This window comes from Homo sapiens, chromosome 17, assembly GCF_000001405.40.
Source record: "Homo sapiens chromosome 17, GRCh38.p14 Primary Assembly".
NCBI classification, from domain to species: Eukaryota; Metazoa; Chordata; class Mammalia; order Primates; family Hominidae; genus Homo; species Homo sapiens.
In genome coordinates this window covers 69,331,844-69,357,782 of record NC_000017.11, presented here as the reverse complement: position 1 = coordinate 69,357,782, position 25,939 = coordinate 69,331,844, and the positions used below count along the sequence as shown (strand labels likewise).

At 38.5% G+C, this 25,939-nt stretch overlaps 1 long non-coding RNA gene and 1 pseudogene across 1 annotated transcript in view; one reads left to right on the top strand and one right to left on the bottom strand.

The window, feature by feature from the left end:
• Positions 1–25,939, bottom strand: part of LOC105371878 (uncharacterized) — a 27,118-nt gene extending 1,179 nt beyond the window's left edge. The window contains exons 1-3 of the long non-coding RNA XR_934949.2: positions 25,873–25,939; positions 22,457–22,575; positions 14,290–14,483 (exon numbers count right to left, since the gene is read on the bottom strand). This is a non-coding gene — a long non-coding RNA (uncharacterized LOC105371878). The remainder of the gene's footprint in view (positions 1–14,289; positions 14,484–22,456; positions 22,576–25,872) is intronic.
• LOC124900401 (uncharacterized) lies at positions 2,500–2,650 on the top strand (annotated as a pseudogene).

Genomic DNA, 25,939 nt, shown 5'->3' with positions numbered 1-25,939 from the left:
GAGTAATCTGTGCTCTCAGCTTAGGACATGCTTTTATACAGTCAGCACAGGTGGGCCAGGAAGCCTGTCTGGTTTTCACTAAACTAGACCCTGTTAGTTTTACAGCATAGTTCACCTTCCACAACAGAGAACGGCATGACCAAGTATAGAATGTAATTTCTATGCAAAGGTGGGAAAATTAACCTCAGGCCTTATTTAGAAACTATTTTATTGTGCTATGATATAAAATAATGACTTACTATGCCAAAAATTCTAGAAAAAATGTCAGTACGGAAAGTTGTGTATTTCTAATGTTTATTCAAAACAACTGTTTATATAGCAGTCTTGTTATTTACAGAACCAAGATGAAAGTCAAAGTGTGGATTTCTCTAAAAGTTTTACACTTGTTATATGAACTTAATACATAATGGGGTAAGCTAGTAATGGCATCTAATGGCAATTAATATGTATTTTATTTTATATACATGAAACATCATGTTTATTGAAATTGTTATGCAATTTGAATTAAACTGGTTTGGCTCTTATGCATTATCATGCAAATATGAATGTATGTTTTTAAAATGAGTTTGGTTAGCCCTTTTATGTTTGCTTTTTGTTTGTTTTCCAGTGCAGAATTTTATTGGCTTGTCATGAATTTTCAGCAGAAAGTTAACAGGTATCTACTTAGTAAAAAATGTATTTATTTATTCCAATGTTTATCCAAACAAATGTATTTTCTAATAAGTTAGAAGACCAAAAAATCTGGCAACTTCTAGCTTTTTATTCAAGTCTTTGTATTCCTGCTGCTACTACTCTTATTGACTCTAAAATAACATTTCTCTTTGAGTCTGTTTTGGGTTTTTCTTTATTTTTTAATTTAACTGTATTATTGTTATTTTTAGACTCGCTCTGTTGCTCAGGCTGGACTGCAGTGGTGTGATCTTGGCTCACTGCAACCTCTGTCTGCCAGACTCAAGCAATCCCCCAACCTCAGCCTCCTGAATAGCTGGAACCACAGGTGCGTGCCACTGCACTCAGCTAATCTTTGTATTTTTGTAGAGATGTGGTTTCGCCATGTTAGCCAGGCTGGTCTCCAACTCCCAAGTTCAAGCGATCAGCCCGCCTCAGCCTCCCAAAATGCTAGGATTACAGGAGTGAGCCACCACCTTCGAGTCCGGCCTTCGAGTCTGCTTTGAATGCACTGTTATCACATCTAGTGCTCACAACTGAAGAACAACATCTATAATAATCTGCATTTTGCAGATATTGAACAGTTATCTACCCTCGGTCACATTGCCAGAAGGTGGTAGAATTAGAATTAAAACTCAGGAGTTTGTTTCCACACCAGATACTCTTAACCATTTTATTAAAACTTGACAAAACTTAAATATATATATATATATAGTCCATATACTGTGCATTTCTTATTAATACCACTTTATTATGTTTATTGAAAAAATATTCTCCCAACTGAAAACCTTTGGTAAGGTATAAGATCTCCCCAGTGAAGAAAACTTCCATTCTATGTAGTGTGTGTGTGTGTGTGTGTGTGTGTGTGTGACAGAGAGGATGTTTTAACAGCCTGTTGCTCTGTTGCCCAGGCTGGAGTGCAGTGGCACAATCATAGCTCACTGCAGCCAGAACTCCTGGGCTCAAGGGATCCTCCTGCCTCAGCTTCCCAAAATGCTGAGATTACAGGTGTGAGCCACCATGCCTGAGCTAGTTGTGTGTTTTTTTTTTTTTAAACTTAATTAGAATCTCAAGATGAGAAATTCGTAATGCAATAGTTCACCCTGAATTTATTCTTACCTCCCAAGCAGGAAGGATTCTCTTCTTCTTCAGAAGGCCTATGTCATTCTATCAGTATCACTTTTATAGAATTTCCTCCTTGCAACACATTATTTCTATAAATGTATTTTCTCCTCTTCCAGGTAATAATAAACTCTGGGGGCAGGAGATCTGTATTCTATGTCTGTATACCTTTTATCCACTACAAGAGTATACTCCATACTTGTTTTGTATGCTTAATAGTAATATCATGGCCGGGTGTGGTGGCTCACACCTGTAATCCCAGCACTTTGGGAGGCCGAGAAGGGTGGATCACCTGAGGTCAGGAGTTTGAGACCAGCCTGGCCAACATGGCAAAACCCCATCTCTACTAAAAATACAAAAATTAGCCAGGCGTGGTGGTGCATGCCTGTAATCCCAGCTACTCTGGAGGCTGAGGCAGGAGAATCACTTGAACCTGGGAGGCTGAGGTTCCAGTGAGCCGAGATCACACCACTGCACTCCAGCCTGGGCAACAAAGCGAGATTCTGTCTCAAAAAAAAAAAAAAAAAAAAAAGGAGTATCATATATGACCTTTGCCACAATCTCCTTATATGCACACACAAATACGTGCCCTGCCTAACTCAATTCATTGGATTTTGGGGGTGGAATTGATGAATAACACAAGAAAAGGAAAAAAGAAAGAGAAATGTTGGAGAAGGAAATAACTAATACAGGAGGTCTGTTATGGGTTGCACCTGTTTGAGGAATAAAGGAATTAAAACTCCCAAAAGAGGACAAATATTAACAAAAATGTATGGACAGACGCAAAAAAACAAATCCTCATTTGCAACCCAGAACTAATTGTTTAGTATGATTTTTGACACATATAAGAAGGAGTATTAGGCCAGGTGTGCTGGCTGGTGCCTGTAATCCCAGCACTTCGGGAGGCCAAGTGGGAGGATTGCTTGAGACCAAGAGTTCAAGACCAGCCTGAGTAACATAGTGAGACCCTCGTCTCTACAAAAAAAGCAAAAATTAGCCAGCCATGGTGGCACACACCTGTGATCCCAGCTACTCAGAAGGCTGAGGTGGGAGGATCAACTGAGCTTAGGAGGTCAAGGCTGCAGTGAGCTGTGATCACACCACTGCTCTCCAGCCTGGGCGACAGAGCAAGGAAAAAATAAAAAAGGAATAGTCTGATACCTAAGACAGGTTAAAGTTATGGGGGTATTGATAACCATAAAGGTTGGCTCCAAGCCTGTAGAGCTGATCATTTAAAAGCATAAAACCAGCCTGGGCAACAAGATGAAACCTCCTCTATAAAAAATACAAAAATTAGTCAGGCATGGTGGCATGTGCCTGTAGTCCCAGCTACTCAGTAGGCTGAGGTGGAAGGATCGCCTGAGCCCAGGAGGTTGAGGCTGCAGTAAGCCATGATCATGCCACTGCACTCCAGCCTGGGTGACACAGTGAGAATCTGTCTCAAAAAACAAATAAATAACAAAAATAAAAAATAAAAAGCATACGACATGGGGAAATTTTCAGCTATGTTGATTTACTATTCCAGTTTCATGTTGGCATAATACATCGAGATGGACTTTTTTTTTTTTTGGTTAAGCCTTTTATCTTGAGGACATAATGTCTGGATTTGAAGGTAGTGGTATATCCCATGCTATTCTTCAGTGTGACAACTTATGAACAAATATGATTTGAACTCATTTGGGTTTAGAGAGGATGTCAGAAATTGAGAGCCATTTATTTTTTAAAATGTAGAGAATTTTTGAAAGTGGCATCAGTATGTCCATATTCAAGTGGAGATAAAATGAACCAAAATAAAAGAACTGTGGGCAGACAGGACAACTGTGGATTATGCATCAATTCTTTTGAAAAGCACTATCTTGAAGATAAATCTTGACTCAATCTTTAGAGAAACTAAGGTAACCTTGATGAGCAGGGAAGGAATCACAAGATGTGAAATTCCTTGAAGAAAAAGGTATTGACTTTAAATAATTTTGTCTAGTAGTACACATAATTTTTAAAACTCTTTACACTGTATAAAGTCAGCATGTATTTTTGGCTCAAAGTTTCTCTAGTGTTTTCTGTAGAGCGAATAAAAATTAAATTTAACAGTTTCAGTTGTGGTATGCTTTAGGCTTGAAACACTGAAGTCCCTCTCCCCATCTGCCTGCTCCCCTTATAAATTTTTTCCCTTGCTCTATTTTGGGTACAATCTTCTTGCTTTGCTTTTTCTAACTTTTGTTGTTTCACTTCAGCTAATTAATTGTATAATCTGTAAAAAATTTATATAGAATTAAGGACAAATACTGCAGGAAAGTAAATTACTAAAATAAAGGAAACCCTATAAAAAAATAAGGCAAGTATTAACATTCTCATACTCAAATACTTACCAGTTAGACTGACCTTATTTAACTCCCCCCAATGATTATAGCACCAATTAGATGATAAGGGAATAAAGAATACATAACTCTTATCAATGAAGAACTCCTAGTTTATCAAGAGACATGTGGTTCAAAGGAAAATCTAAAATGCTAACGATACGTAGGCAATCAGGAATGCTGAAATACATTTTAAAATAGCTGCAAAACTGGTGAAAGTTGTCAATATCCATAGGGCAATAATCAGTTGCTTTCTGCCAGCACACAATTCATCTGCATTTCTATGGTCAGAAATCATGTGTATTATTCTTAGCTCTCTACAATTTACAGAGTTATAAAATACCTCATAGATAATGACAAGAGATAACCCAGAAAGGTGTGCATAATATGACACCTGGTACCCTTTTATGCCCATTTCAAAGTCTAGTAATATAATACTATAGTATAATACTAATGTAATAAAATCATATTAATACACTTGGGCTTGTTGGTTTCTGTACCACTTTGTACTTGTAGGACTTACTGAGTATCTCAAAGAACTTTTGTCTATGTGGATTATAACTATCAACACTTAATGTTTTGGTAATTGAAACAAAGAAAATTTTAAATATTGATTGATTTTAAAATAGCAATGATGAACATGTTGCATATTAACATTCTATCTTGGCATTGTCAGGAGGAAAACTAATTAATTTTTTCCTAAACTCCTCCTAGTTCTTAGCTGGGATTTCTATAATGAAAGATAGATTAACAAGAGAAAAGTTAAGTTATTGATGAATATAACACACATCATGCAGAGAAATCTCAATGAAAAGTAATTCAAAGCAGTGGCTTAGAAACTGTGGGAAGGTAAAATATATGGGAGGAAACTAGTGCAGTAAAGTTTGTTTGCAGATTCCTCTGGTGCCATGTCTGGGCTGGTAAGAGTCTAGGGTTGTCTCCAGTAAAGAAAAATTAAGGGAGAAAAGGGGTTGGATAGAGATAGCTTTTCTTCTGTTTGCTGCTTTGTAATGCCGTCAGCCTGAAAATAATTTTTATGTCAAAGCAGCATATTTTGGGGTGGCATATTCTGGTTTCCTTCAGTATTATTATGTTTGTATTATTTGGATGTTACAGATACCCTGAAAGAGAATCACTGTCTTAAAATGTTGTTTCCAGAATATGAAAAAGCATAATTAAGTACTGTCTTAGTTCATGTTGCTACAACACAATATCATAAACTGAGTGGCTTATAAACAATTAGCATGTATTTTTTACAGTTCTGGAGGCTGGGGGGGTCCACCATCAAGATACTGGCAGATTTCAGTGTCTGATCAGGGCCAGCTTGCTGTTTCACAGGCAGCTGTCTTTTCACTGTGTCCTCATATGGTGGAAGAGCAGAAAAGGAAGGGATCTCTCTGGAGTTTCTTTTTTTTTTTTTGAGACAGTCTCACTCTGTCGCCCAGGCTGGAGTGTGCTTGCATGATCTCAGCTCACTGCAACTTCTGCCTCCTGGGTTTAAGTGATTCTCCTGCCTCAGCCTCCCAAGCTGCTGGGACTACAAGCATGCCATCACACCTGCCTAATTTTTGTCATTTTAGTAGGGATGGGGTTTTGCCGTGTTGGCCAGGCTGGTATCTGAGCTCCTGGGCTCAAGCGATCCACCCACCTTGGCCTCCCAAATAGGTGTGAGCTACTGCCCCCAGCCTGGAGTTTCTTTTATAAGGGCTCCAGCCTCGGTCATTGGTCACCTTCCAACGACCCCACCTCGTAATCACATCACATTTTGGCAACAGATTTTAACATATGAATTTTGGCAGAACACAAATATTCAGTCTACATCACTGAGGATTGCTGCTTTAGGACAATACCTGGTTTTTTTTTTTTTGGTTTTTTTTTGGAAAAGGAAAGCACAGTTTTATTTTTCTGTCACTATTACACTTGATGGAATGTTATCCTCTTTTTTATACTGTTCAATAAAAGTAATCGATTTTATTTTTAAGACAGGGTCCTGCTCTGTTGCCCAGGCTGGAGTGAAAGGTGACCAATTTCTCTTTCACAGAGAAAACTAGGGAATGGATAACTGAGAACAGTCCATCATCGACAAGCATTTTTCAGCAGACTGGCAGCACTCATGAATACAAATAAAACAACTTGCTGCAACCACATACATCTCTTCTACATCTTCTTAAAGTGGCCAAAAAAAATAAAAAGAGGCATTAAAAAGAGGTCATGAATATGACCCAGAGATATGCCTCTCTATAGCATATACAAATAAAAATCAAACATATGTAAAGACTACCTCACTGATTACCTCGATTTAGTATGAATCTGAGCCTGGATGGGAATTGTAAGCTAGAAGGATAGTGATTCAGACACAAAAATCAAAGACAGCTTTGAGGTTCTGAATCTGGGAGACTTGGAAGAGGAAGGAGTTTAGAAGAAAAGGGATGGGGGTGGTGCCATGGTGATCACATGCACCATGAAGGGGGTGCATATGATTACAGCAGGATAGATACATTTCCAGGAAGGTGATGTCTGGGACATCGTGAGTTTGAGATGTCAAAACAGTCGGGGAAAATGGCCAGCAAGCATTTGGTGATGCATCACTAGAATTTGGAAGATGTGCCAAGTCATTTGCTTGGGCTGCTCTTACGGGTTACAGATTGAGTATTGAGGTGATACTTGAGGCCATGCAAATAGAAGAAAGCCAAGAGAAAATAAAGAGAAACGAATGTGACTTAGAACTTCGTTGTTATTCAGACTGTGCATAAGTATTACTTAATTTGTTCTAAAATAACTTATAACTTATATAAGTTGCTTATAACTGTCTTGAAAGTGCAAAAGGAGCCAGGCGCAGTGGCTCACATCTGTGATCCCAACACACTGGGAGGCTGAGGGTGACAGATCACTTGAGCCCAGGAGTTTGAGACCAGCCTGGCCAACATAGCGAAACCCCATCTCTACCAAAAATACAAAAATTAGCCAGGCATGGTGGAGCACACCTGTAGTTCCAGCTACTCGGGAGGTTGAGGCAGGAGAATCACTTGAAGCCGAAAGGCGGAGGTTGCAATGAGCCGAGATTGTGCCACGGCACTCCAGCCTGGGCAACAGAGGGAGACTCTATCTCAAAAAATAAGAAGAAGAAAAAAGAAAGAAAGAAAATGCAAAAGCCAAAAAAGATTATTACACTAGCATGATTAGGCTTGAGGCCACTGACACAATGTCAAACATTATATTTAAGTATTCATCAAGATTGGTGAATACTTAAATCCACACTCAGAGAATTATGCCAGTTTCACCTCCCTTCTATTTTGAATTTTTTTTTTTCAGACGGAGTCTCATTTTGTCGCCCAGGCTGGAGTGCAGTGGCGTGATCTCAGCTCACTGCAACCTCCACCTCCAGGGTTCAAGTGATTCTCCTGCCGGGTTCAAGTGATTCTCCTAGCCTCCCGAGTAGCTAGGATTACAGCTAGCTAAAATTAGCCACCACGCCTGGCTAATTTTAGTATTTTTAGTAGAGACGGGGTTTCACCATGTTGGCCAGGCTGGTCTCAAACTCCTGACCTCGTGATCTGCCCACCTTGGCCTCCCAAAGTGCTGGGATTACAGGTGTGAGCCACTGCGTCCAGCCCTATTTTGAACTTTTTTATGCATTGGTTTCCTCTTAGTCTGTGACTTGCTTGCTTTTTTTTTTTTTATTAGCTCATTAATCTCTTGTTTGCCTGAGTTGGATTTGTAACACTGTTTGGTTTACCTTGATGCCAATCTGGAAATCGATTGGGATTCTGCTTTTGTAACTAATTCATGGTTTTATTCAGGTGGTGATATGCTCATATTCTTTGCCTAGGTCCCCAGAGTACATTATCTGGTGTTCAACCACCAATGAATTATTGTAGTACAACATATATTTGGGTCACCACTTTTCTTTCAAAATGTTTCAGGGAACTTATTACATGCTGTGAAAACCAACTGTATTTTTATCTTTTGAAGTATACCCATCAGTGTTTAGGACAATGTCTAGCACATAGTTAGTGCTCAACAAATATAGGTTGAATAAATGAGTGTGGTCTTGAACACACAGATAAATTTTGAGTTATTTACTGAGGTTGTTCCCATCTTCTGTAAATTATATTATGAAATTCGAACTACCCAGTATACTTAACATAGAGATGGAATAGTCAAATTGGTGGCATTTGTACTCCAAAATAAGCTTTTGAAAAACACAAATAAAAAAATATTTCTGAGGGGCTGGGTATGGTGGCTTATGCCTGTAATCCCAGCACTTTCGGAGGCCAGTGAAGGAGGATCACTTGAGTCCGGGAGTTTGAGACAAGTCTGGGCAACATAGTGAAAAGTCGTCTTCACACACACACACACACACACACACACACAATTAGCTGAGCATGATGATGCACACCTGTTGTCCTGCTTATTCAGAGGGCTGAGGTGGGAGTGTTGGCAGTGGCGAATCCATACAGGTCTGCAGCAACGTCAATTCTTGTTCCTCAGAAGAAAGAATCTGATGGAGGGGCATAAGGCAGAGTGAGAGACTGAGGCAAGTTTTAGAGCAGGAATGAAAGTTTATTAAAAAGTTTTAGAGCAGGAATGAAAGGAAGTAAAATACACTGGAAGAAGGCCAAGCAGGCAACCTGAGAGATTCAAGTGTGCAGTTTGGCCTTTGACTTGGGATCTTACACACTGGCATACTTCCAGGGTTGCATTACTTCTCCCCTGATTCTTCCTTTGGGGTGGGCGATCTGCATGCACAGTGGCCTGCTAGCACTTGGAGGGGCTGCACTTGAAGTGTGTTTACTGAAGTTGTACACATGCTCACTTAAGGTGTTCTTCCCTTACCAGTCAAGCATTTCCAGAGAAAGGTCATATACCAGTTAAACTCTGCTATTTTGCCTCTTAGTGCACATGCTTGAGCCCAGTTGCTCAACTCCTGAGATCTTATCAGGAAGATGCTGATCACCAGTTTCAGGTGTTTCTATCTGTTGGGCGACTGCCTTTCCCTGCCACCAGCTGCGACTAATTATTCTTTTAAAGAGACAGTGTAACCACTGACTGACCATCACCTGATGGTCACCTGACATTCCTGATGTGGAGAGGAGCCTCTCCTCCTCTGCTCATATCAGACTAATTACCTACTGTAACAGTAGGATCTCTGGAGCCTAGGAGTTTGAGGCTGCAGTGAGCTGGGATCATGCCACTGCACTCTAGCCTGGGTGACAGACCAAGACCCTGTCTGAATACACACACACACACACACACACACACACACACACACACACACACACATATTTGAAAGCCTAGACTTTTACTTCTCAGAGCTGGGCTTTTTGGAAAGTGTAAACCAAAAATAAAATTCTAAATCCCCCAACTAACTGAATAGACTCCACTTCTTGAAATCGCCTTCACAAAAATTATAAAAGTGAGAAAATTATGACAGTGAGAGGACTAACCAACCCGCATCTTGCCTTTAATCCCCAAACTGCCCTTAATTATTCCTGGGCTTAGGCCAAGCTAACTTTGAGAGACATTTAGCTTATAGTTTGTTTATTTATTTAGAGACAGAGTCTCACTCTGTTGCCCAGGCTGGAGTGCAGTGGTGTGATCCGGGCTCACCGCAGCCTTACCTCCCAGGCTTAGCCTCCCAAGTAGTTGGGACTCCAGGTGCACGCCACACCTGGCTAATTTTTGTATTTTTTTGTAGAGACAGGTTTTGCCATGTTGCCCAGGCTCACATTTTCAGGGAAATTGATTGGAGTAATAAATTAGTCTCCCATGGGGTGTGACCAGCCTCATGTCAATTAAATTCTTTTTTATTGCAATGCCATGGTCTCAGTGAATTGGTTTTGTCAGTGCAATGGGTAGGAAGAATTCATTAGGCAGTTACGCTGTTGTCCAAGGACATTCTAAAGTAAAACCGGGCCGGGCATGGTGGCTCACACCTGTAATTCCAGCACTTTGGGAGGCCGAGGCGGGCGGATCACCTGAGGTGAGGCGTTTGAGACCAGCCTGGCCAACATGGTGAAACCCCATCTCTACTAAAAATACAAAAATTAGCCGGGCTTGATGGCACATGACTGTAATCCCAGCTACTTGGGAGGCTGAGGCAGGAGAATCACTTGACCTCGTGAGGCAGAGGTTGCAGTAAGCCGAGATCATGCCACTGCATTCCAGCCTGGGTGACAGAGTGAGACTTTATTTCAAATAAAAATAAAAAAAAAATAAAGTAAACCTGAGGCCAGTTGCGGTAGCTCACGCCTGTAATCCCAGCACTTTGGGAGGTGGATCATGGGGTCAGGAGTTCGAGACTAGCCTGGTCAACATGGTGAAACCCCATCTCTACTAAAAATAGAAAAAAAATTAGCCGAGTGTGGTGGTGCATCCCTGTAATCCCAGCTACTCAGGTAGCTAAGGCAGGAGAATCACTTGAACCCGGGAGACGGAGGTTGCAGTGAGCCGAGATCACACCATTGCACCTGGGCGACAGAGCGAGACTGTCTGAAAAAAGAAAAGAAAGACAAACCAATCCACAATAACAAAAGTCATGTTTCAGTGTCAGGCAGAATTGTTTGTAATAATGAACTCCTCTCCCCTCCTCTCCTCTCCTCTGCTCTCCTCTTCCCTCCCCTCCCCTCAGGCAGAATTGTTTGTAATAATGACCTCAACTCCTCTCCTCTCCTCTCCTCTCCTTTCCCCTCCCCTCCCCTCCCCTCCTTTCTTTTCTTTTTTCTTTGAGACAGAGTCTCGCTCTGTCAACCCGACTGCAGTGTAGTGGCGCTATCTCAGCTCACTGCAACCTTTACCTCCTGGGTTGAAGCAATCCTCCCAACCTCAGCCTCCTGAGTAACTGGGACTACAGGCATGTGCCAATACGCCGGGCTAATTTTTGTATTTTTAGTAGAGATGGGGTTTCACCATGTTGGCCAGGCTGGTCTCAAACTCCTGACCTCAGGTGATCCGCCCGCCTCGGCCTCCCAAAGTGCTGGGATTGCAGGCATGAACCACTGCACCCAGCCCGAACATTTATTTTCAAAAGGGATCTCATCAAGCTTAAGGATAGAGAGCAGCAGGAGGAGATTCTTTAATAGCAGAAGATCAGGTTTCATCGTTACTTCCACTGAAGCCTGAAATTCAACTCTGTTGTAAAGAAAATTTGAGGACCCCTATGTTGGAAATAAGGCAAGGCATAAAAAAAAGTTACATACAAAAAAAAATGGCTTTTCGTGTGTTCCATTCAGCAGCCCTATCTAAAAGAACAATAAATTCAATTTACACACTGTAAACAGAAGCATTCTCCTTATTTTTCTATCTCCAACCTGTAAACATGGGCAGAATAAGGAAGGAAACCCTTTGGGGATTACAAAGAACAATAGAGCTAAAATAAATAAATAAACAAACAAATAAATACAGCCTAAATTTATTTACCTGAGATTTTATTAGAAAATTCATTTCATCTCATCATTAAGATACTTGGTGGGTTTCCTAGATAATCATACACATTTAGCTTTCCTATTTTGACTTTACCCCACATTTACATATTTGTTCACTTTGAAAAAATTTTTTAATGTTATCAATACACTGTATGCTTATTGCAAAAAATGTGATAAAAATTCATATAATCCTGCTACCCAGACATAATCACTGTTAATCTTTTGTAATATATTTCCTAAGGCTTTTCTCTATGCATCTATACATATATTTTACATTGTGGCTGTCACAGTACATAAATAACTTTTTATTCTACATTTTTTTCTTTTTTCTTTTCTTTTCTTTTCTTTTTTTTTTTTTTTGAGACAGAGTCTCACTCTGTTGCCCAGGCTGGAGTGCAGTGACTCGATCTCAGCTCACTGCAACCTCCACCTCCTGGGTTCAAGCCATTCTTGTGCCTCAGCCTCCTGAGTAGCTGGGATTACAGATGTGCACCGCCACACCCAGCTAATTTTTGTATTTTTAGTAGAGACGGGGTTTCATCATGTTGGTCAGGATGGTCTCAAACTCCTGACCTCAGGTGATCTGCCCGCCTCAGCCTCCCAAAGTGCTGGGATTACAGGCGTAAGCTACCACACCCAGCCATTATCCTACATTTTAAAATAGAATGTAATCATTTTCCCATGATTAAAAAAATTAAAAGTTTTGGCTGTCTAATTTTCTATGTTGTGCCACAACACACTCAACTATTTTTTGAGCGTGTTAGGGTACAAACACAGACTTGTGTATTGTGTATTGTGTATTGTGTTCAAAATATCTTTTGAACATTGTGTTGTTTTTCTATTTTAAATTGTAAATAAAGAATATGATGAATATAAATAAGCTCACATCTAGGGCTACATTTCAGTTCTCTCCCCTTCCTCCCCACCCATACCTTACACTATGCACACAGGATAGATTGCTAGAAGTTGAATTACTTGATCTAAGGGTAAGAACATTACTGAATTATGTTCCCCACCCAAATTCCTATGTGGGTGACTAATCTCCAATGTGGCTATATCTAGAGAGAGGTCATTAGGAAATAAGGTCACAAGGATAGGACCCTAACCAATAGGAAGGACTAAAGTCTTAGAAGGAAAGAAAGATATTTCTCTCTCTCCCTGCAGCCCTGCTCTGTGAGAACACAGCAAGAAGGCAGCCTTCTATAAGCCAGAGAGAGAGCCCTCACCAGAAATCAAATCAGCTGGCACCTTATCTTGGACACCAGCCTCCAGAACTGTGAGAAATAAATTTCTGCTGTTTAAGCCACTGAGTCTACGGTATTTTGTTATGGCAGCCTAAGCAAATAAATAAAAACACTTTTTTTTTTTAAGACAGTCTCCTTCTGTCACCCAGGCTGGAGTGCAGGCGCATGATCTCGGCTCACTGCAACCTCCGCCTCCTGGGTTCAAGCAATTCTGGTGCCTCAGCCTCCCGAGTAGCTGGGATTACAGGCATGCGCCACTATTCCCGCCTAATTTTGTATTTTTAGTAGAGACGGAGTTTCTCCACGTTGGTCAGGCTGGTCTCGAACTCCCGACCTCAGGTGATCCGCCCGCCTTGGCCTCCCAAAGTGCTGGGATTACAGGCATGAGCCACTGCCCCCTGCCAATTTTTGTATTTTTAGTAGAGACGGGGTTTCACCATGTTGGCCAGGCTGGTCTTGAATCCTGGTCTGAAGTGATCCACCTGCCTTAGCCTCCTGAAGTGCTAGAATTCAGGCATAAGCCACCACACCTGGCTTAAAAACATTTTTAAAGTTCTTGACACATGTTGATAAATTACTTTCGAGAAAGATGTTACCAGTATGCACCACTCTGGCAGTATATAAGAACCTCTATTGCCCTGTACCCTCATCAACATTCAAAAAATTTTTTTTAAACTTAATTCTAAGATATATATCTTTAAAGTGTTTAAAAGTTCATACTTTTAAAGTTTTGTTTCATCAGAATTGTCTTCATTTTTATGGCATTGCCCCCTGAATCTGCCCCTGTATTTTCAAGTTCCCAGTGTAGTAATATTTCATAGCGATAAAAATGTCCACTCGGGAATCCCAAAACAAAGCAAACAAACACATACAAACATTTAAAACTTTTCAGCATTTTATCATCTCCATTTTTATAGTTATGTAAAGGAAAAGCTAAGAATTAAGAACCTGAGATTGTTCCAAAGCCATGTAAAAACAGGATCAACAATCAAAGACTATGATATAGGCTCTCTCATTTAAAGCACTCACCTATTTTGGACAGAAAGATTTCATTTTTGTTAGAAAGTAGTCATACAGAAAAATTGCCATAGAAGCAGCAAATACACTCTCTCTTAGTAAATTTAAATAAAGCCTTTACTAGCAGAACACTCCCCTTTTCCTGATAAGCACCCTAAATTCTCATAGGTTTCATGCAAAATAATTTTTCTCTCCTTCAGCTTGAAATAGAAATAAGTGATTTAAGAGATAGGTTGGAGTTTGAAACTAAATTCCACTTCCCCATCTAGGTTTTACACCAAGAACATTGTAATGTTCTCTCCACAATATGCAAATATTTGTAGCATTAATTAGTTTACTGTTAAATAGTAACAGAAATTTGCCAATTAATGCCACTGATAATTATCTTGAGGACAAATTCAGGGTGTTGTGACTTTATGTCTGACTCACTTTTCCATTCTTACTCCATTCTTAACTCACCTGTTCCATTCAGTATTACTTTACAGTACATCGTGGACTGTTTTCCTAACTTGGCCTTGAGTTGGCACCAAGTGCACGGAGATGAAAATATCTTTCACGTCAGTCTGTCTTGCCTCATAACATTCTCAAGCTGTTTTCCCCATTTTAGCATTTCAAGGGCAATTCTCTCCTACTGGGTCCTCTTAAAGAGGTGCCTGCAGTTCATAATAGAACAAAGAAAAGAGAAAATTAAATTCACCTGTTCTGATCAAGCAGGCAAAAGAGAACAATCCAATGTCAAACAAAGGATATTTCAAAAGTCAACAGACTTTTGTTGTCTGAAAACCCAGCCAGAAATGTCCTCAACCCAGAAAGATTTTCTTATGGGCTTTGAGTGTGCATCTTAATGTTATTTTTATAACATCAATGTTAGTTTTCATCTACTATAAATAGAAAAAAAACCCACAACAACAACAAACCACTGAGTTGAGGAATTGGAATGATAATTTGAGCAGAGTGATGAGTGAGTAGGGTATGGAATTAAAATGTCAGTTCTTCATATAGAAAAATGTTACATTTCAGAAAAAAAAAATCTTCATGGTTCTAAAAAAACTCAATTCAGTGATACTTTTTTTTTTTTTTTTTTTTCAATTTAGAAGTGCAGGGGTCAGAGGTGTTTGAACCAGAGCAAACTCCATCTCGAATAGGAGCTCGGTAAAATAAGGCTGAGACCCACTAGGTTGCATTCATTAAAGCATTCTCAGTCATAGAATGAAACAGGAGGTCAGTATATGATACAGGTCATAAAGACCTTGCTGATAAAACAGGTTGCATAAAGAAGCAAGCTAAAACCCACTAAAACCAAGATGGTGATGAGAGTGACCTCTGGGGGTCCTCACTGCTACACTCCCAACAGTACCATGACAGTTTATAAATGCCATGGCAACATCAGGAAGTTACCCTACATGGTCTAAAAAGGGGAGGTATAAATAGTCCACTCCTTGTTTAGCATATAATCAAGAAATAACCATGAAAATGGGCAACCTGACGCCCTCAGGGCTGCTTTATTCCTTTACCTTCTTAATAAACTTGCTTTCACTTTGCTCTATGGACTCACCTTGAATTCTTTTTTGCACGAGATCCAAGAACCCTCTCTTGGGGTCTGGATCAGGACTCCTTTCCAGTAACAGGGTATAACAATTCTAATTTCTTAAATGTCTAATGTGTGCTCTAAATTGAACAGAAAAGATGCAACTAAGTGTCTGTAATTTACTTGAAATAAAATTAGGTTCAAATTTAATTATTCTTCTGTGTTCATTTGTTTTTTTTTTAATTGTATAGAACAAACATGTTTCCTTATATTAGGTTCTAATAAAATTGAATCTATACTGGAAAGTAATATTTGCATAGTGTCAGTTGAGACTTTTAGAAAAGACTTGAGTGTCATTCAAAGAACATTTTGATTCCTATAGAAAATTAGATGGTGTTCCTCTTCTTTCCACTAACCTAAATGTTCACCCCAGGATAAATGGTACCAAAGGATACCTTAGGAGAGGTGTGGCAATTCCATGTCCCTACACTTCAGCAAGGTTCTAGAAAATTGAATGTATTGGTATTTCCCACCAAGATATAACTTTCTCTAATAAAACACAAATGTGACATAAATATAGTAACTCACAGCTTTATCAAGAGTGTCCAGAATCATATCTTGGCAAATTTTAGACAAATTAGATGTTATCAAGTCCCTGATCTAAAAGAAAAATAACAGACCTGGGGGTAGTGGCTCACGCCTGTAATTCCAACACTTTGGGAGGCCGAGGCAGGTGGATCACTTGAGGTCGGTTGTTTGAGACCAGCCTGGCCAATATAGTAAAAACTTGTCTCTACTACAAATATAGAAATTAGCCCAGCATGGTGGCAGGTGCCTGTAATCCCAGCTACTTGGGAGGCTGAGGCCCAATAATTGCTTCAACCCAGGAGGCAGAGGTTGCAGTGAGCAGAGATCATGCCACTGCACTCCAGCCTGAGCAACAAAGCAAGACTCTGTCTCAAAAATAAACAAATAAATAAATATCTCAGCTCACTGCAACCTCTGCGCTCCGGGTCAAGCGATTCTCCTGTCTCAGCCTCCCGAGCAGCTGGGACTACAGGCGCCCACCACCACGCCTGACTAATTTTTGTATTTTTAGTAGAGACGGGTTTTCACCGTGTTGGCCAGGATGGTCTCCATCTCCTGACCTTATGATCCTCCCACCTTGGCCTCCCAAAGTGCCGGAATTACAGGCATGGGCCGCCGTGCCCGGCTGAATTTCCACAAATTTTTAAGAAGACCAATAACAATGGAGTAAAAATAGTGTTGTCAATAAATAACCCCTATGAGGTGCCAGGCTTAGACACTTTCAAAAGTAGATTCTCTTACATTTTCAAGAAAGAGAATACATATGGCTAGCTGTCACTGGAGATTTGTAATCCTCCTCCCATAATATGGAACTATAGCTGGGAAGTGGCCACACAGCCAAGACTGGCACTTGTCTCGCATCTAGGTAGAGCCACATAGCTGTTTCTCATAAAACAAACGCAGGCTTGAGTGATAACTGTCACTTCAGGGTCTGGACTGTTAAGAAGGGGGTCTTTTCTCCCTTTGTGCCTTTTCAACCCACTGCCCCCGACTGGATGACAATGCCTAGGGCATCCTTTTGAATTACTATGTAAGAATTAAATATCAGTGGTATTTGGCCTGTTGCACATTTTTGGGTCAATTGGTCTATTTGGTCTATCAGTCTATCCTAAGCCATATGTTACATAATGTGTATCAGAACAGCTAGAGTTAAAATGTTTCCTTTACTTTAATTCACACTTTTCTTCTTTTCCTTAGTTTGTAAAAGAATGAATACAAGCCATTTTAACATCATGAAACAACAGTAAAAATAAAAATAAAAAATTATTTGAAAAATAAAAATCTTCACAAGAAAATAAAAGGTCTACACAAAAATAGGTAAACTCAAGGAATCCTACTTAGAAAACTTATCTGACTAGATAGACTGTCTTTTTAGAAAATGACACAAAAAATATGCCAAAAATAATAGTTGAGTTACTTGAAAATAATTGACAATCTAGGAACCAGAAGTGTACAAATATGATTTTTTTTTAATTAAAGTTTCCAATTTAACAAGCGCTCTTCCAAGTCAGTCCTCAGGCTTAAGTGCAGACATAGAGAAAGTTAAAAAACAGGACCGGCCTCATGGCACAATTTGGACATGGGTCATGTTTATATTTCGTATCCTGTCCCTTCCCCCAACATGCTGGGTGAGTTTGTACCTCTATTCCCTCTTGTCATCAAATGATTTCATAGTGTTCTCTGGCACTCCAGGGCTGAACCCATGTTAATATTCTATCTTGCAAGTTTATCCTTGTAAGTTTATCCTCCTAAGGAAATGTACTCATATTACGTTCCCTTTCCTTGAGAACTAGGGTCATAAAACAACTGCAATAAAGTAACATAAGCCACATTCTTCTAAGTATTAATAGCATAACATTTATCATGGTTGTTCACAAATCTGGCTAAGTATCAGAATCATATGGAAGCCCTTTTAAATCTATACATTTCCAGATTTCATATCTTAGAGATTCTTTTTTCAGATCTTGGACAGGTTCTGACAGTCAAAAATAATAAATACACAAACAAAAGCTTCTTGGATGATCCTAATACCCAGCTAGATGTAGAATCTACTGACATTATACTGTTTTACAGTTGACTATGTAATGGATATCTCCTTCACTATTAAATTTCTTGATGGCAGGGACTATGTTTTTAAATTTTGCATCCTTTAGTAGAGTTCCTTGTGCATGTCACAGTAAGAGCTCAATGACCATGTGTGGAATTCAGTTGAATAATGGCTGAAATTTCTTGCCAGTTATAGGCATATTGATGGACTTTCTTTCCTATGTAGTAACTAAAAATACTATCTTATGATTTTCACACTGTTACAGATACTATAAATATTCGTATTTGAATTAGTAGTATATGAAGTAACTTCTCTCAAACATATGAAAAGATTAGGCATAAAAGCATCAAATTTACAAAAACTAAAATAAAATATAATTGACTTTTTGAGAGCTTTGGGAATTGGTGGTGATTTTTTAAGCTTAGAAAACCTGGATTAATAAAGACACGTATGTACTCCTCATATGATTTCAGCTCATTTCCAGTGCCTTTGGGTAGATATTGCCAACAGATGAAGGCACTCTTTTTTATTAAAATGGGACTTCGCTTTAGAATCCTTCTTAACCACGTATTTTACAACCAATAAGAAATTATGTGATGAGGTAGGTGAATTAAAAATGAGTTGTCTATCTTTGAAATAAAACAAAAGGTAATCAAGTTTGATTTTAAGATGCCATTTCTTAATTTTTTAGGCCTTTCTTGCCTTCCACTTGAGTGATTTTTTTCTTCTCCTTTTATCTTTTACTAATTTACAAGTTACATATCTCTACCTTTTAGTGGTATGTTAGTGGGAGATTACCTTGATGCAATGGTGTCTCCAAGTCCTTTACCAAAGGGCTGGCCCAGACAGGCTCATGGACCCAAGTAAGATGCTGAGATCACAGTTTATTGAATCAATTTAAAGGATACAGCAAGAAGCAAGGGGAAAGGGGCAGAGTAGGTTAATAATGTACTTAGGAAAGGGTGCAATTAGTATACGATTGAGTTAACTGAAGCCTATTCTATAAAATGTTTATATGTCCTCTCTTCTATTTTTCTATATTAATTCTTCCTGCTAACATTGTGGTTATAAGGACCAGAATTGCAGATAAACAAAGAAGACTTGGCAGATGGAGGGTGCCTAGAGCCAATTTATATTTTCTCTGCAAGAAAGACTCAGGGACTGGTCCGCCTGGCTATAGTTGTAACTCACCACTGTTACCTGTTGAGCACCCATGGATTTTATCTGTCTTGAGCAGAGGATACATGGAGCCAAAATGAGTCCTCATTAATATTTGGTGCCTTGGGTGTTTCATGAATATTTGGTGCTTACCCAGTCCTTCCATATCTTCTTATTTATGCACTCAGTACACACATACTCTACTTACCTTATATATCTAACATATATATGTATCTCTTAATTAATTCTTCCTTTCTTTCATTTTCTAGTCCCTGAATTGAATATTCTTAAATAATGTAGCAAATACACATGACAGATGTCTTGAAATTTTTAACATGCATACTCCAATTTACAATTTCCAAAATTAATAATAACTGTAGCCTCCTCTCAAAAAATGGAATTTAGAAACAGAGTATTTTCAACCTGACTTCCTCTTCTTTCATGTTATAGCATCTTAATTTTCTTGGTTATAATACATTATTTATATGTCAATACTTAGTTTCTCCAAATTTTATTCAGTTTCCTTGTTCAATATTTCTTCTTACATCTTGCTTCTTCCTTTTGGATTCAATTTCCTTCTTTTTGAAGTACATCTGTCAGTAGTCGTTTCAGCCTACGTCTGTGAATGGTAAACTCTAGTGGTCTTTATCCGACAACTTTTCTCATTTTCATTTTGACAGCTTAGTTGAGAATAGAATTTCCCATAGCCCTTTAAAAATTTTATTTTAATCTTTCTTTTTACTAGTGGCACTTTTATTGTCAATTTTATTTTTGTTTCCTCATAGGTAGGTTATTGTTGTTGTTGTTTGAGACAGGGTCTTACTCTGTCACTCAGGCTGGAGTGTGGTGGCAAGATCATGGCTCACTGTAGCCTTGACTTCCCCGACTCAAGTGATCCTCCTGTTCAGCCTCCCAAGTAACTGGGATGACAGACATGGGCCACCAAGCCCAGCTAATTTTTTAAATTATTAATTTTGGAGACTCCATGTTGCCCAGGCTGGTCTTGAACACTTGGGCTCAAGTAATACTCCTGCCTCGGCCTTCCAAATTGTTGGATTATAGGCGTGAGGTACTATGCCCAGCCTATAGGTATGTTTTCTTTCTTGCTTTGTTCTTAGGAATTGTTTTTCTTGTTTTGGTGCTCTTTAATTTTAACTAGAAGTGTTCTGATATTGATTTCTTTTAAAACATGTATCCTGTTAAGGACTTACTGCATTCTGGTTCATATCTATCTTTGTATCTCACACATTCTCTGCTATCTTCTCTTTGAATCAGGCCTCCCCTCCATTTTATTTCTTTTCTTTCTTTTTAGATCTTCTATTAAATATGTGTTAGATCTTGTTATTATACTCTTAAGGATATAACTTCACTTTTATACTCTCCATTTTTTAATCCTCTGTATAATTTCTTCAGATTTATTTTCCAATTTAATAATTATCTCTTTCACTGTATCTAGTCCATCTATTTAACCCATATGTAGAGCTTTTTATTTTTAATAGAAATAAGCTCTATGACAGTAGGAAATTCACGTATCTTATTCACTATTTTATCTTTGGAACCCAGAACAGTGCTAGAACTCTGCAGATGTTCAATAAGTATCAAAATTATTAATAGATCAATAAATTCCTTTTTTCAAATATTTTTATTTTTTCTTATACTTTTCCTTCATTTGATTTTTATTTTCCTTTATGTTTTTAATCATTTTATGGATTTTTCTTTGATAGTCACTTCCAGGTTTTTTTTTGTTTTGTTTTGTTTTGTTTTTGATAGAGACAGGGTCTCACTATGTTGCCCAGGCTGGTCTCAAATCTAGGCCTCAAGCAATCCTCCTGCCTTGGACCTCCAAAGTGTTGGGATTACAGGTGTGTGTCACTGCACCTAGTGGTCAGATTGCTTTATTAACTCAAGTGGTTGGGGCACAGATTTTTCTATTTGTTGTGTCTTCTCATATGCCTTTTGGTAGATTGTTTCTTTGTGTAGTGTGCAAATTTTATTGAGAGCTCACCTTTACTGAAAGCCATTTATTCTGTGGGATTCTTTTGTTTCCTGAGTTGTGTATATGTCCTCATCAAGGATTTTATATTTGCTTCTATAGGGCCTGGCTCTTTCTTAGGATTCTCTTTTCAAATGATAAGGTAAAATTAGATTTCCATTGGCAGAGGCTTTCAATATTCACAGGAACCATTACTCTCACCCCTACTCATCCTAGACTTCTAAGGCTTCAAAAAGTGAAAACCTCTTTAGGGTTCTAGTTTATGTAGGAATGTTAGTTCCAGATCCTCATAAGTGGCTTTAGGACCACATCTTTTAGTCCCAAATGGGGTTAAACCTCAGCTCCTGGACCTTATTATTGTGACTTTGAATTTCTTCTTCAATTCTGGTATCTGAAGCCTTTGCTGTCTCTGTTTTAAACTCAGCTTTATATTTTAAAATACTCATACTCTATTCATTATTTCTATATATTTGGAGAAGGCAGGAGTCTCATGCCATGGGAAAAAAGGGAAAATGGGGAAAAGATGATTTGATTCCACAGGTTTTGCTAATGAATTTCATCCAACTCACACATGAGACTACCATTAAGAATCACCGTATTATTTTGTTATTCTTAGAGTTTTTTGCAATAGTCTTATGGATATTAACATTAAACCCAATTCAATAAATAATAATATGTAAAATATTTCAGGATATATAGACTACTAAGACAGTCTCTGCACTCAAGAGGCAAACATTGTATAGTACAGAGATTAAGTAAATTTCATAAATAATCACAATGCAGGAAGCCTAATTGCTATGGAGATGCATATAGCTCTTTAGAATAATACATTACACGTATTATCAAACAAATTACTAAAATTGTTAGAAGAATGGAAAAGGAATCAGAAGAAGGCATTTTCAAGTAATAGTAACAGGAAAAACTTCATGATAGTGGTACTAGTTGAAATGTGCCTTGAAGAATGACTAGGATTTCTGAAAATAAAAACTATGAGGGAGGGGTCAGAAGGGAGGTAGTGGCTTTTCAAAGTAGAAAGAAAAGCATTAGCTTAGACAAGGAGCTTGGAGGGTGGAGGGCCTCCAATAAGGAACAAGTAATCCAATTTTCCAGGTTAGGATGTTAGAAAAGCAGTATCATTAGAAAGTAAAAGTAAAGAAATGTAAAAAAAAAAAAGGGGTATGGGGGTTGGTAAAAAATGGGCAAAAATTAAAGCTAATTTAATTTAAAATGTTTTACTGTCATATTTATCTAAAGAGAAAAGATAATGTTGGGTTAATTTTTAAGGATAAATTTAAAAACCGGGATCACTTACATCTTAGGTTGGGCAAGTTTCTTCTTCTCAATGACCTGATCCTCTGATTGGTTAGTTTTACAGTTTCCAGGAAGGTAAACGGAATCAGCATTTTGGTCTCTCAGGCATACAAGTACCATCTAGTGGCAAAGGAAAGCAACCACAAGAATGAAATTATACAGGAAACATTTGCTTGTTTATTTTGAATTTTATTTATATTATAATTAGCTAATAACAGAAGGCCATGTTCTACTTGAATAGGGAAATAAAGTACCCTTTAATCAAACATTGCTTGATTATTGGATTAAAAGAATGTGAGATCAGACAAACATGGGTTATAAAGAGCTTATTAAATATGAAATGTTTGAAAATTTTACAAGAAGTTAATATCAAATTATATTTTGGGAATAAAACTTAAAGAAGGATCTACTTGAGTTTAAAGAGAGAGAGAGAGAAAAAGAAAGTCAATGTAAATGACGAAGAGGCAGAAATACTGAAGGTAACTATTTCTTTTTTTTTTTTTTTGAGATGGAGTTTTGCTCTTGTTGCCCAGGCTGGTGTGTAACGGCTCAATCTCGGCTCACCGCAACCTCCACCTCCCAGTTTCAAGCAATTCTCCAGCCTCAGCCTCTTGAGTAAGTGGGATTACAGGCATGCGCCACCACACCCAGCTAATTTTGTATTTTTGGTAGAGACGGGGTTTCTCCATGTTGGTCAGGCTGGTCTCAACCTCCCGACCTCAGGTGATCCGCCCGCCTTGGCCTCCCAAAGTGCTGGGATTACAGGCATGAGCCACTGTGCCCGGCGAAGGTAACTATTCTTTTGGAATTTTCTCTGCTTCCACTTTGCCTAACTCCTACTTAGCCTTCAAATCTTTAGATATGTCTTCCTCTAAACAATGTTCCTTGACACCCCAGGTCTGTATTAGATGAATCACCAATGTCCTTCTATGGACCACTATTCCCATGATGCTACTGACCACACTTCTTTGTCACTTCCCATTTTATAGCCCTCATTGCAATCAATAATCCTAAACAGCTAGAGCCATGTCTGTTTCATCCACTGTTCTATCCCAAAGGCTTAGGATAGTACCTGACATGTAATAGGTAATTCACAAATATTTACAGAATGAATGGACAGATTAATGAAGAAAGAGAATAACTGTGATGGAAATGTTCAAGGTACAAATATCGAAAGCTAGTATCAGTAAAGTTTAAGAAAACAAAAAGTTTCCAGAAAATTATTAGTTGAAAAAACTTTTTTTCTTCATTGTACATTGATTCCCTACAGGACATCCATTTATTTATAATTTCTGGTACTTTATAGTTTTCAGAGTACTTCTCTACCTCGGTGAAGAAAAAATAATAGTTCACAGCTCACATATCATTGCAGAGATCAAATAAAAGGCTACACATAAAGCATATAGAAGAGTATGCAGCACATATTACATGCTCAACAGTTGGATTTTATTATTTCCTATACCTCATCTCATAAGTTCTTTGAAGCAGCACAGAGTCAAAGAAGGAAGCTATTTTAGATTTCTGTTTTACAAATTAGGAAACAGTGATTATGGAAACTAACCATGAGTAATATATGATCATGGAGTCACATCAGTTACTAAGTTTCTAAATCCACAACATCTAAGTAATAGTTATTGTCCCTTCTATGGCATCATGTTGCTTCCTTAGAGAGACAAGAGAGAAGAAAGGACATGTGGATGCTAAATAAGCACAGCATTGCAATGCAGAGAAGGAAAATACAATATAAAAAGTGTACTAGCTTTTCTCTTGCTTCCCTGACAAATTGCCACAGCCTTTAGTGATTTAAAACAACACAAACTTATTATTACAGTTCTGTAGGTTAGAAGTCCAATACAGGTGGGGCACAGTGGCTCACGCCTGTAATCCCAGCACTTTGGGAGGCTGATGCAGGAGAATGGCTTGAGCCCAGGCATTCAAGACCAGCCTGGGCAACACAGTAAGACCCCCATCACTACAGAAAATTAAAAAATTAGTTGGATGGGTGGCATGCACCTACAATCCCAGCTACTTAGGATGCTGAGGCAGGAGAATCGCTTGAGCCCAGAAAATTGGGGCTGCAGTGAGCTATGATTTCCTCACTGCACTCCAGATTAGGCGACAGAGTGAGAACCTATCTCAAAAACAAACAAACAAACAAACAAACAGAAGTTCAACACACAGATCTCTCTGCGATAAAGTCAAGGTGTTCCCAGGGCTCTCTGTTCCTTCCTGGAGGTTCTAAGGGATAATCCGTTTCCCGGCCTTTTCCAACTTCTAGAGGCCATCCACATCCCTTCCTCCATCTTCACTGCCAGCAGTGGTGGATTGAGTTCTCCCATCACATAATTCTAGTCTCCTCTTCTGCCTCTCTCTTTTACTTTTAAAAACCTTTGTGATTATATTGCATCCACTGAGATAATCAAGGAAAATCTCCTTGATTTTAAGATCAGCTAATTAGCAACCTTAATTCCATCTCCAATCTTAAATCCATTTCTCCACATAAATGAACATATTCACAGGTTCCAGGGATTAGGACGAGTGGGGGTGGGGATCATTATTCTGCCTATTCCAGGGGAATATTGGCAAGGGGATGAAAGGGAGGAGGAAGGTAGGGCAGTATTTTCAAATGGAAGTGTTAGAGGTATAACTTCAGGCTATCCTCACATTGATCTTGGCAGACACTAAAACCTCTGAATGTTTTTCGCATGGCTAAGCTACAACCCATCCCACTTTGTACTTGTGCTATTGTATTTTTCAACTTGAATGCAGACATTTTCATATATTTATGTTAAATTTTATCTTTTAGGTTTTAGCTCACAGTTCAAATTGTTAAAATAATTTTGTTTTCTGGTTCTGTCTTCAGTCATATTTGCTATGCTATGTAGTTTTTGTTTCACCTGTTGATTTGACCACAATGATTTCTTCACCTATGTAATTTATGAAAAATATGAACAAAAATCAGGGTACAGTTATCCAACTAATTTTGAATTTACCTAATCATAATTAAATCAGGCCCCTATTTTAGGCACATCCACAAAGATATGAAAGACTGGATTAAATGCTTTGCTGAAATTAATTTATATCATGGCCATAACATTCCATCTTCTCTCAAAGATCAAATAAAGAAGTGTGGTGTGACTTGTCTTATTTTAGTCAGTCTGGTTCCGAGTGACCACCAAATTCTAATACATTTAACTATGGACTCTGGAGTTTTACTTTTCTGTTCTACAGTTTTCAATGTCTACCTTTTCACCATGTTTTAAGCAAGTGATCTATCATCTTTTTCCTTTTTTACAGTTTCTCAGAACTCACCAGCAATAGATCTTAGGTTACTTGTAAACAGCTGTGGGACGTAATTTGTCCCTGGAAACATGAACTTATTTGAAACAGATGGGTGTTTTCTTACTACCTCCTCACCTGTCTCAAGTTTCAGTCCTCTTTGTATGTTGTTTCACCTTTACCAACGTAAAGTCCATTTTCTTTA